Below are 12,576 nucleotides of genomic sequence, written 5' to 3' on the forward strand. Positions count from 1 at the left end.
AAGCTCAGCAATCTAGAACAAACACTGAGGCACACAGGGTTGGTCTTATGAGCTGGCAACCATATGGTCTGATTTTAGAGGCTAGGAAAGCTTAGTCCAAAAATATCTACCCCTCCCAAATGCCACAGTGCCTGGAATTCCACTGTTAGAGGGATATTTCTGGGAGTTGAAGCACTATCTCCGATTCTGAGTCACTTGGCTTCAGTTACTTTTTTAAAGACAGTACAATGTTGTATTTAGATTTTTTTACCCATTTTTGTGAGTTTATTTATTTTAATAAATGAGTTGATCTCATTACATTTATTATTATAATACATTTGTCACAATTCTATCATCTTAAATAATTTCTTTTATTTATTGTTTCCTCTGTTTTCTGTGTAATCTGAATTTTAGTCCTAATAGTGGTTACCTCCTCGATTTTAAATAAGATGCTTAATTTTCTATTATCAATTAATCAGAAATCAAATAGTATCTATTATCTCCCAAATACAAAAGGTGAGAAAATTAATGATTTTCTATTTCCTCCCATTTCCTTTCCACCTACGCCTTAATCCCTATCAACAGACACTTGTTATTATGTTGTTGAATTTTTTTTCTTCCTTATGGCTGTATTATTATCATTATTGTTATTACTTTTACATTTGGTAAAATTTTTTTTTCTTTCATGGACTTCTTTTAAATGCAATAAAACTCTGGCTAGAGGCTACAGTTATCGTACATCAATATCTCTGCATGAATTAAATACTCAAGTTACTTTTTTTTTTGAGACAGAGTCTCACTCTGTCGCCCAGGCTGGAGTGCAGTGGTGCCATCTCAGCTCACTGCAGCCTCTGCCTCCCTGCCGGGTTCAAGGGATCCCCCCAGCTCAGCTTCCTGAGTAGCTGGGACTACAGGCGCGTGCCACCATGCCCTGCTAATTTTTTGTATTTTTTGGTAGAGACGGGTTTTCACATGTTGCCCAGGCTGTCAGATTACTTTCATTCATTGCAGTAGAGGCTCCTACAGGATGCAGGACAGTAAATAGGCTGGGGGTGGAGAAAACATAAAAAAGGAAATCGGATGACAGATGGGGAAATACATTGAAGGCGAATACCTACTTCTCTGTTTTGCCTTTTGTTGATCATAGAAACAAGGGGAAAACATAATGGAAACTAAATAAACATTCGCAGAGGGCACTAAGATTTCTGACGCTCTCATGGTACGGAAGAGGAGCAGTAAGACACACGTGTGTGGATAATCAAAGGTGAGGATGGTGGGTGGGTTGGCGCAAGAGGTGGGACGAGGGAGAGAAGTGCTGACCATTCCAGGGAGTCCTCTGCATCACTGCTTCTCAACATCACACTTTGAGAGGACTCTTCCAGCTCCAAAGCCCTGTCCACATCACGTCCTGTCCCCACGGTCACTCTGGCCAGGCAGGCCTCTCATTGTGAAATGGGGCCCTGCACACAAAAACAACAGCCTCGTGCTTGTGGCAGGCTGAATTCTTTCCAAAACTGCCCTGGGTTTCTTTATCTCAGCCCCTTGTGAGAACACAGGAAACTCTGCTTCCCCAATCCTGAAATATCTGCCTCAGGAAGGAAGGGATATTGTCTTTTCAGGGGCCTCTGTTTGGCTTGTGAGCCAGTTCGATAGCTTGCTTTGTAAATGCACTGCAAAAGCAAGCCCACTCAGACCTTCCTTGGAAATGGCATATTTGAAAGATAATGTCCAAATCTATTTAAACAGTGGGGGAAAAAGTTAGGTCATAAAACCAGTACCAACTTTGTACAAACTGGTCTAAACGCAATACTGGAGAGGTGTTTGGTTGTTTGGCTTGCTTTCGTTTGTTGATTTTTTTTGTTTGTATTGGCTAAGAATTGTTCAAAAGAAAAATCATTCAGTTTTTTTCTTCAACATTCTTGTCCTACTGAGGGAATAATTCGTTAATTCACCTTTCACTGGATCCAAATGGAATTCATTTTTTAGACTTTATAGAAAACATACAAACCCTCCACTAGTTCAATATTTTATGATTAATTTTTATAAACAAGTAGGCGATATCAGGACATCTTCAGAGATGAATATAATTGAATCCGAGTGCTCTCATGCTGACTATTAAAGGTTTCAATTTAAAATGTTTGCAAGAGACCAGGGATAGGACGAATCTCCAGCATTGCCTCACAGTGCCAGTGTCCTGGGCTTCTAGAAGCAGCAATGGTATCTGTGGTTGGCTGAGTTTTCTGGGCCATCAGCGTGATTTCTAAGCCGGACTCTGGTGCTCATCATGCTCCCACAAGCCTCAGATGGCTTTTATTTCACAGCAGACAACAAACCCATCTTTCTGTCAAAGGCCGTAGGTTGAGGTCCGGAAATGAATTTTTAAACTATGTCTTCAGGCCACTAAATTCCAAGGCCATTTCTCTTTCTCTCTATTCCTAAGGACCCATCACCACAGACCCCAGGTGTTATTTGTACACCAAACACAGCCGTGCAACTAAAGAAATAAAAATAAAAATAAAGGTTAAGCGCTCTTTGCCTCCCACTTCTAAAAGAAACTTCTGGGCAGTGTTTCTCAGTTATGAAATGTACGCTTCCCAGGAGCAGTCTCCGCGTTTTCCAGCGCCTTCCCTGCCTGCCCGGCTCCCCGGACTCTGCTCCTCCCGCTGCCCACCGAAGTGGCCCTGCCTCAAGTGTCCTCCAGCTCACACTGTGCTTCTCAAGCAGTGGCTCCCCAAAGATGTCCCCAATGAGGAGGGTGAACAAAAAGCGCCTTTCACAGGATCTCCCAGGCACTGCCAGAGCGAGGCAGGCTTTGAGGAGCCTGTCAAGGAGGGCAAAGGCCTCGCTTTGAAAACGCTTCTCCAGTGTGCTGGCTCGTGGGACTTGGCAGGCCCAGGGAACGGCGCCGCGGGGAAGAAAGCCCCTGGATAGGCCTCCCTGGCGGGCACCCCCTGCTCTTTTCATTCGGCCCCATGTGACGCCCGTGAGGGAGCTGGCAGGCCAGGGCCTGGTGAATGAATCCTGTTTGTCAGGGCCCCCGCCTTGACTGCAGCCCATACGTCAGGACACACGCTTCCCGACTGCTAAATGACGGCTGAGAAAAGGACAGTGGTTTTCGGTGTTTGTAGGACAGGCAGGAGTGGCCAGGCAAGGACTGAGATCAGTCATAGGGGAGAAAATCCAAAAAGTAAAAACTCCACCGACCACAGGAGACTTTTCTTCTCTGCTCTGGTCAGCAAGAAGGTCCCATGATTCAGCACAGAAAAGCACCCTCTGGCAGCCCGGTCCTGTTTAGTTCTGGGTTCGGTGCAATTTCTTTGTTGAAACTCAGTTTCTCCCTCTGTAAAATAGGTATAGTGACACGAGCCCATGGGAGCTGCTCAGTAAAGCTCTATTGTTTAATCAGCTGACAAATGGCAAAGCCAAGTCCTAAATGCTTACTCAACTGGCCACCAGTAATGGGTGCATAATGAGAGTGAGAATTCAAGGGCAGCCACCTACCTCGCCCATCTGTTTATTTTTCCTGCCTTGGTCTAAAATGGTTCCAAGGCCCCAGACTCACAGCAGTCATGCCTCTTCCGTGGCGGCCAGAAGTGCAGAGGACAGTGTTATTCAAGGTCATCTGAAGAAGGCAGGGACCCACCTGCCACAAAGGGTCGTTGTGAAAATGCAAACGTCCAGGAGCAAGGATTAAGGGGAAGACTCCCACACCGGAGAGCAGCCAAGGGCACCCCCTTGCCGAGAGCAAAAAAAACATGTGGTCACTTCTAGAAGGCAGAGTGACAAGTCAAAGCCTCTCTGTGAGTTAGCAGAAATCATTCCCTCCGGGTGGAGGAATTACACATGTCTTTCTGGGCAGGCAAGTTAGGAAAGGGGTGCCCGTCTGGGCAATCCAGTCAGGACGAGTGCCCCTTTCTCCCAGACTGGGGACGCAGTCTGGAGGGCAGCGCCCACTACCCCTCCCTCTCTGGGCACCGTGGCACACCCTCCGGGGCCCTGCCTTTAACCGCTGTGTAGCCTGACAGGGAAACGTCAAGGTCAAACAGGAGGCCTCTCACAGCTGCAGGAAGGAACACCAAAGCATCTTCTTGAGAAATAAACAATGTTGCCTCTTTTAGCTCTAATTTTTTCTGTATGGCTTTGAAGTGGCAGTGTCTAGGGAAACCCCCAATACCTTTCAAGGGGGGAGATCAAGGACTCCTGCGTGTTGCAGTGAAGTTAATGAAGCCATTCATCCATTCGGCCAACAGCCATCATCGGAGCTCTACAGCGTGTCCCCAGTAAGTCTGCTGTCAACACGCAGACATGGGGGGCGTCAGCACAGCCCTTGACCTCTGCGAGGTCACAATCCAGGGTGGCTGCAAGACCAACAGTAGCACCCCCCACCCCCGACCAATGAAGTCCAGAGGAGCAGAGAAAGTGCTGGCAGACACAGAGGATGGAGCAACTCACTTATTTTAGAAGAACCAAAGAAGGCTTCACAGAGGTGACTTCTGGGGGTGTTCTTAAGTGAGGGGTAGAATTTCTATGACCAGAGCAGCCAGGTGGAGGGAAAAGCAGAAGCATAGCTACGGAATCAGAAGAGTCTGTGCTGTGGCCAAAGCATGGGGTGGGAGGTGCGGAGGCAGGAAGTCCCTGAACACACCAAGAGTCAGAACTCAGGGAGGCAGCGGAGAGAGGACCCACAACTCCACCTGGGCCTTAGGGCAGCTCTGACGATGCTGTAAGGCCAGACTGTAGAGACTAACAATATAGGCATCACCTGGAAGACTTGAATGACCCAGGGAAGATGCAGAGGCTTGAGGACCAAGCCAGAGGGGACGGAAACACAGAGACTCGGGTTTCCAGACCGGACCGGGCGCATGGTGAGGGCACAGGCCTGCAATAGACAGCACAGGAGTGGAGTGGGTTTGGAAGGCCAATGTTGAATGTGGTTGTGGAGAAGCCAAGTCGAGGCTCCTAACAATGCAGTCCTGTAGAAATGCATAACAGTTAACTAACCAGCGATGAATAGCTAGTTTTAAAACTAAAAGGCAAAGAGATTGCAAGGGAACTAGGGCCCTGTACAAGGACCCCTGCCGTGCTCTGGGGCTGTGGGAGTAATTGGGTCAGGGCAACAGTTCTCAGACTTTGGGGTGCATCAGAATCACAGGGCGGTGTGGGAGGCCACTGACAATCCAGGTACCTCGGCCTCACCCCCACTGATTTTGTGTCAGCACCTACAGAAGTAACACCGATTCCAGCTCCCCAGTTACAACATACTACAAATCAAGGAGTCCTTTAAACTTTTTAACTTCTTTCTCACTAATTAACTAGAAATACCCTCCCCTGTTTACCTTTTAGCTGAATAATCTCTTTAACTGATTAACTGAAGTTAATTCTCACTGGCCAGCAAAAAGTTCGGTGAAATTAGCCTCGGGAGAAACTAAGATGGCAAAGGCTATTTTGTGGGAGGTAAGAGAAGAGGGAGAAACAGAGACAAGAGACAGTAGGGGGGAATGGCTAAGAATGGTCCGTCTGGGCATTGTTGGTGAAACGGCTTAGTGGTTGTGGAGTCACTAGAGCCACACGTTGTATGTGAAGTCATCAAAGCGGACATCAGGGAGCCCTGGAGTTGGTCCCTCATCCCCAGGAAAGGAGGACACCGGCTTTCCACCAGCCTCAGCAGGTCCACCCTCAGACAAGGCTCCCCATAGGCTCCTCCTCAGGCTGTCCTGCTGTGAACATTGACCCCACAATCTGCACAACCTGTGTAGAATCACTTCCAAGTTGACCAAGACTTGCTAAATTATCTCATGAAGGACAACAAAGGCACAACTTAAAAATGGAAGAAGGTGAATATAAAGTAAACCCAAAACTCCTACTTTTTTGTCCCTTCTCACACTGCTATAAAGAACAACCTGAGACTGGGTAATTTAGAAAGAAAAGAGGTTTAATTGGCTCACAGGTCCACAGGCTGTACAGGAGGCGTGGCTGGGGAGGCCTTAGGAAACTTACAATCCTGGTGACAGGCAAAGGAGAAGCAGGCACGTCTTCACATGGCAGCAGGAGGGAGCGAGAGAAGGGGGGAGTGCTACATGCTTTTAAAATACCAGATCTCATGAGAACTCACTGTCACAAGAACAGCAAGGGGGATATCTCCCACCATGATCCTATCACCTCCCACCAGGCCCCTCCCCCAACAGTGGGAATTACAATTTCACATGATTTGGGTGGAGACAGAGAGCCAAACCATGTCACCTACCTATCATTAAAAAGTAATGTCCCAACCCAAACAAGCTTGGAGTCAAGGGCCAGCTCCTACCAAACTTCAAATATTGGTGTTTAATAATACGTGTCATTTAGGAACAATGACAAAAGATGAACACATGCATCTTAAAAGCTGACTAGCAAAAGGCCAAAGAAGGAAATGGGGAAGAAAAAGGATATATTTTCCTTTTATCAGAAACCTAGATTAGGCCTAAACTCAACTGGACCGACTATGATCACCTCCTCACCTGCACAGGTGAAGCCACCAACCATCCTAGGTTGTCTGGGACTCTTCTAGTTTTAGCAGTAAAATTCCCACATCCTGGGCAACTTGGGACAGATGGTCACTGTGGGTCCAGGTCATGGACTATGAGAATATGAGAATATGAGTTTGGGTTTGGAAGACTTCCAGCTGACTCCTGGACTGCCACTTACTAGATGTGGGCCACTTAATTTCTCTGAGTTTCATTCAGTTCCTGCACTCTAAAAACGAGGTTTGAAAGGCTGTCTTCATAGGATTGTTTGCAAGGATTAAACCGTAAGGGAACATAAAACACAGAATCGGTGGTACACAGCAAGCTCTCAATCCATGTGAGATGGGAAACATTTATCTGCAACCGTAGCCAGCATAGTTGGGGCAGGATTACCCAGAGACGATGGCGAGCATCAGGTGAAGCAGATGGAGATGTGGGCAGTTGTTGCTTCCTTACAGAGCTGGTCCCTGTCATTTGCACATTTGTCCCCAGCCCTGGGTCCTGGCAAGAAGCCTGGACAAGGAAGCTCTCTATGGGTGCTCGAGAGCCACTGGCAGACGCATGTGCAGTCAGGCAAGAAAGCCACACGCCCAGGCCGCAGCGGCCCTGCCAGTAAGCACTGAGCACCCAGGCAGATGGGAGAACCAAGCTGCAAGCCTTTCCTAGTCTCCCTATGATGAATGAATGACTGTCCTCGTGGGACCACTTCGCAGCAGAGCTAGCAAGAGCCGCGGCACGGATCCTGCCTACACACCTGTGCTCCCGAGCCCTGCAGAGCTTTGGGTCTTCTCACTAGCGGAGTGAGGATGAGGGTGTGCTGACCACAGCAAGGTTGTGTGCGTGCCTCCATGGAGGTGCGCAGAGCAGAAACGCTGCCCCTCGCACTGCCATGGTGGTAAGGAGAGGAAATAAAACCCATGTCTTTTCAAAGATTGTGTGAGTGTCCTTGAACTCCTCTTCTGGCTTTTCAGCAGCTGTTTGGCATATACAGGCGAATGACAGAGAGGAAGAGGGGGCAGAGACTTGTGTAGATGCCAGTGTGTTGCTCACTGCAGGCAGCACTGACTGAGCTCCTGCCGTGAGGCTGACACAGTCCCTGCCCTCCTGGAGATTAACCCTTTAGCATGGGGAGGTGACAGCAGACAAATCAGTAAGTAAGAGAGTGTTTGATGGTAATAAGTGTCCTGAACACAAAACCAAAACAGTAAAGTGATGAGTAATGGGGAGCAGGGGGACTTTCTCAGATGGGAGTCGGGGAGGACCTCTGTAATGGGTCATGTCCGAGCCAAGAGGAGGCTGATGCCAAGGAGGAGGCAGCCATCCGAGAGGCAGGAGGCGCGTGCAGGAAGATGGCACAGTGGCGCCAAGACCAGGGATGGGAGCAAGCATGGGTCTGCCCGGAATAGGAGTAGCTGCGGGACCCAGAGCTCAGGGAGACGGTGGTGGCTTGAATGAGGGGAGTAGAGGTAGAGGGTTGACAAGTGGCCCAATCTGACGTATATTCTTTACTGCAAAGCCAATGGGACTTGCTGGTAGATTGAGTGTGCTTGGAGGAGTGGGAAACAGAAGAACTAAGGGCGACTCTTTAGATTTAATGAGTAGATAAATGCTGTAACCGAGCAGAAGATGGAAGAAGACTGGTTTGGCCATGTCAAGTGTGAGATGCCAGCTGCACATCCTAGTGGAGGTGCCAGGCAGGCAGCTGGAGAGATAGGCTTGAAGGAGGGTCAGGTCTAGAGACAGAAATAAGGGAGAGAATAGCTCCCGTCTGGAGTCGGAAGGGAGATGTCTTTCGCTACAGCGTGTGAATGTTGCTTTGCTTCCAAACACACCATGCGGTCCACACCCGCTTGCAGCCTAAGTCCCTGCATGTTTAAACAGCCAGGCTGTGAACCAGCTCTACCTACAGGCTTCACATACAACATGTGGAGGAGCCTGGCCCAGTTCCTGCCCAACTCATGTTTATTCTCTCAGCAAACATGTGTCCAGGACTTATACCATGCCAGGGGCTAGGCTAGATAACTTGTCCTACAGAACAGAAGGCTTGCCCAGGGAGTTACCTCATTTGGAAAGGAGATGGGAGGGTGGGCAGGGTGTGGCCGCAGGAAGTGGCAGGCATGGGGCCAGGGTGCCTAGGGGCCAGACTTGCTGAGCCATCACCTAGCTGAGGACCTGAACCAAGTCCATCTGCAGGCTGTGAAGCCCTCATCAGTGGGGAAAAATGACCCCTTAGAGTCCCTTCCAGTTCCAAAATGCTGCAATTATCTGGAAATTATCATCTAAGTAGACAAATCATTTAGGCAAAAAAAAAAAAAAAGATTTAAAAATCCTTTTGCTTCAATTACGCATTTTTTTTTAACGTGAATTTTCATGGTAATTGGCCTGAAGCCTGAGTAGTCTGTCCCCAGACAAAGCAGTCTTTGAGTTAAACTCTGCTTTGTATGTCAAAGCAAAGATACCCGCAGAGCAGACTCCACCTTCTTCTCTCTACACCTCCTCTCCGGGCTCCACCTCAGAGTGCACAGATGCGGAGGTGCACACGAAATCTCCTTTGTACTAAGTACAGTTATTATAAGGTGTGGCCCCCTAGACACTACCCTCTCTATTATTTTGACAGTATGACTTCCTGTAATATTACTATCTCCTGTCATCTCAGTAACAAAGGCTGATACCTGGGTTTTTTTTTTTTTCACCTCTCAACAATATACTTGACATTTAATGCATCATCAAAAAGTTTCTGAGGTTTTGGGGCTAAAGCTCTAAAAGTATTACTTCCTGCTGCCGGGGCAGCAGCTCAGGTACCCAGAGCAGCCCCAAGACTTCTGAAGCAAGGCTGCTGCCCTGTTCTCAACTTCGCCAGACGATCCCAAGGATTTCAAAGCCAGCCCAAACCGCACCCCACCCTCAGTGGGCCCTCCCAAGGGCTGAGAAATGGGTCCCAGAGCAGAAAGCACAGAGGCCACTGCTTCCCATCCCAAGCTCTCTCCCTTAGTTCTGTGGGTCCTTGAGCAAGTCACTTAACCTTTCTGCTACCCAGATTGGTAGAATTACTGCATGGGGCAAAATGATCCCCAGGGAGTGGCCCAGCATCCATTCTCAGGTGTTTAAGTAGAGACTTGAACTGCCCTCGAGGCCAGTCAGGTGACCTGCGATGAAACCTGCAGTGAAACCGCCTATTTTTCCTAAACATTAGAAGAATATTAGCTTGGTTTCCCCAAACGGCTCCCTGGTGGCCCAGCACCATGGGAATGTTCTGGGCCTGCTCTGTGAAGGTGGGATTTGCAGCCAGCAAGGCAGAAAAGCGATCGTCATTTACCCAACTCTCTATTACTTCAGCAGCATTTACAGTGCCACACATGTGTGGTCAGGGCCAAAGCCAGGCTCGAAGATACAAGGACAAACACAGCAAAGCCCACGACCTCTGGGGACAGACTGTCCAGGGGTTGGAATGGCATGTGAGCACACAGCTGCCCGCAGGAAGGGCTGGGGAAGACCGGAGGGGGCACAGGAAGGGAGCCCCTAATTATTCCCGAAGATTAGAGAGGGAGAGGCAGAGCAGGCTTCCCAAAGGAGCTAACACTTGACCCAACTCACTGTTTTCACAGTGGTTGGGCAGCTGGACATTCCAGGCAGAGGCAGTAGGAAACTCCATGGCCCAGGCCCAGAGAGATGGGCTGGCTAGGTAACACACACGGACCCATGAGGCTGGACCATGATGCACATAGGGCAGTGCTGGAAACCAGGTCCGAGGCTTCAGCGTCTGCTGAGGAGCGTGGCTGTTTCTCATTTTGGGTTTTTGACCCGTGGAGTGCAGTACAGGCTGTATAGCTAAGGGTCAGAGGCCTTGATTTGGGAGGTCAGCCACACTCAAATGGAATCCCTGCTTGTACTAATGGTGCAATCTTGGGAGAAATACTGAATCTTTCTAAACCTCCATCCTCTCATCTGTAAAATGGGCATAATAATACCCACCTCATAGATCGTGAGGGTTATGTAAAATAACAAATGTCACGTGCTGGCATTAATTACAGCAGCCAGTTAAAACACAGAGGGGAGGGCTCAACTGGTGCTTTTAGAATTATCCCTCTAGCGCTGTTTGGCAGATGGGCTGGGAGAAAGACAGGTGGCTGGGATGCATCCAAATGCATGAACGCACACATACGCACACGCAAACTTCTTTTTTAAAATTTATCTATTTATTTATTTATTCATTTATTTGAGACAGGGTCTCCCTCTGTCACCCAGACTGGAGTGCAGTGACGCCATCATAGCTCACTGCAGCCTCGACTCCTGCGCTAAAGTGATCCTCCCACCTCAGCCTCCTGAGTAGCTGGGACTACAGGTGCCCGCCACCACACCCAGCTAATTTATTTTTTATTATTTTTTGTAGAGACAAGGTCGGGCTGTGTTGCTAAGCTGGTCTCAAACTCCTGGCCTCGAATGATCCTCCCACTTCAGCCTCCCAAAGTGCTGGGATTATAGGTGTGAGCCCTCGTGCCCAGGCTCGAACTTCTTTGGTAGTGGGGTAAACAATGCAGTACAGAGAAGATGTGATTTAATTTGAAGGTGAAAGAGGGGAAGACTCCAAAAAAGGCTTTAGGGTAAAGGCAACTTAGGAAATGGGTCCTGTTAGGAGGAGAAATTTGGAGAGAATAATGCATGGAGGCATGAAGTTTCAAGGTGTTAGGAGCAGTGAGAATAAACCAGAGCTGGTGGCCTCTGGGGGAGGAGGGTAGAAAAGGCTTTCACGGGTCCATACTCAGGAGACACATACATATTCCATGCCCACTGCGTGCGCCAGAGCTATTGCGATGAGTCCAGGCCAGATCCCGGGCAGGCCTTCAATGCCATGCTAAGGGATTTGGAATTTATTCAGAAAGTAGCAAGGAGGCCATTCCTTTATTAGAATTATCTGTTTCCTGTCCACTGACCCACACAAATCTTTCAAGGAAGGAGGGAGATTGCAGTAGAAGCGTGCCCACCACCCCCTGGCTCTCCCACATTCAAGAGAATTGAACCAAATTGCTTCCTGCTGCCCTGTAACCCAGGCAGGGTCCACCCTCTCACAGCACACTAAAGTTAACAATAATACTCATAATAGCTAACGTAGCTCTGTTTGAAGTGCTTTGACTGTCTTAACTCATTTGATCCTCCTAGCAAGACTGATATCATTATTCTCCCATTTTGTGGATTAAAAACAAGACACCCAGCCATGAAGGAATGTACCCAAGATCCCCTAGCTAGTTAATGGACACATGGGTTGTGAACCCCAGCAGTTCTGGACAGAAGCTTTGCAAGTCAAGGACTAGAGATTTCTTTCTTTTTTTTTTTTTTTTTTTGAGACGGAGTCTGGCTCTGTCACCCAGGCTGGAGTGCAGTGGCGCGTTCTCGGCTCACTGCAAGCTCCGCCTCCCGGGTTCACGCTGTTCTCCTGCCTCAGACTCCCGAGTAGCTGGGACTACAGGTGCGCACCACCACGCCTGGCCAATTTTTGTATTTTTAGTAGAGATGGGTTTCACCATGTTGGCCAGGCTGCTCTCAAACTCCTGACCTCAGGTGATCCACTCGCCTCGGCCTCCCAAAGTGCTGGAATTACAGGCGTGAGCCACGGTGAGCGGCCCACAAGGACTAGAGATTTCTCTGCTAACACAGGGGAGGGGCCCAGCACACAAGTGGCCCGGGGCGCCTCAAGGGGAAGGCAAGTTGCCACGTGAGGGCTCTTGCGGGCAGGTTGTGTCAGAAGAAAGGTGCCTCTCACTGCACCAGGGGTCACAAAAACACCTACTGTCTTGTCTCACCTCCCTCCACGGAGGACAGTCTGGCCACTGTGGGACTGAACACCACCGGCTCCCAGAGGGCGCAGCAGCTTAGAAGACGCAACGCTGTGGCCAAATGCAGAGACCGCCTTGGGAGCTGTGTTCACGGAAGCGAGGGAAGATGGGGGCTGTCCTAGAGTATCGGGGATCCCAAACTGAACCAGCCGCCTCTCTCCTCTCCACAATCCACCCCTAAGAGAGGCACAGGGGCCCCGTCGGGGGTCGATGCTGGGGGTGGGCGATGGAGCTCCTTCAAAAGCTGCCTCTTCTTCTCCTCC

The 12,576-nt window shown here is 49.1% G+C and overlaps 1 long non-coding RNA gene across 3 annotated transcripts in view; it reads right to left on the reverse strand.

The window, feature by feature from the left end:
• LINC00598 (long intergenic non-protein coding RNA 598) overlaps positions 1–4,249 on the reverse strand; it is a 133,873-nt gene extending 129,624 nt beyond the window's left edge. For all 3 annotated transcript variants that reach the window (NR_024506.2, NR_024507.3, NR_024505.2), the window contains exon 1: positions 4,154–4,249. This is a non-coding gene — a long non-coding RNA (long intergenic non-protein coding RNA 598, transcript variant TTL-B1). The remainder of the gene's footprint in view (positions 1–4,153) is intronic.
• Between the last annotated feature and the right edge of the window lie 8,327 nt (positions 4,250–12,576).

The sequence above is a fragment of the Homo sapiens genome, chromosome 13, assembly GCF_000001405.40.
Source record: "Homo sapiens chromosome 13, GRCh38.p14 Primary Assembly".
NCBI lineage: Eukaryota > Metazoa > Chordata > Mammalia > Primates > Hominidae > Homo > Homo sapiens.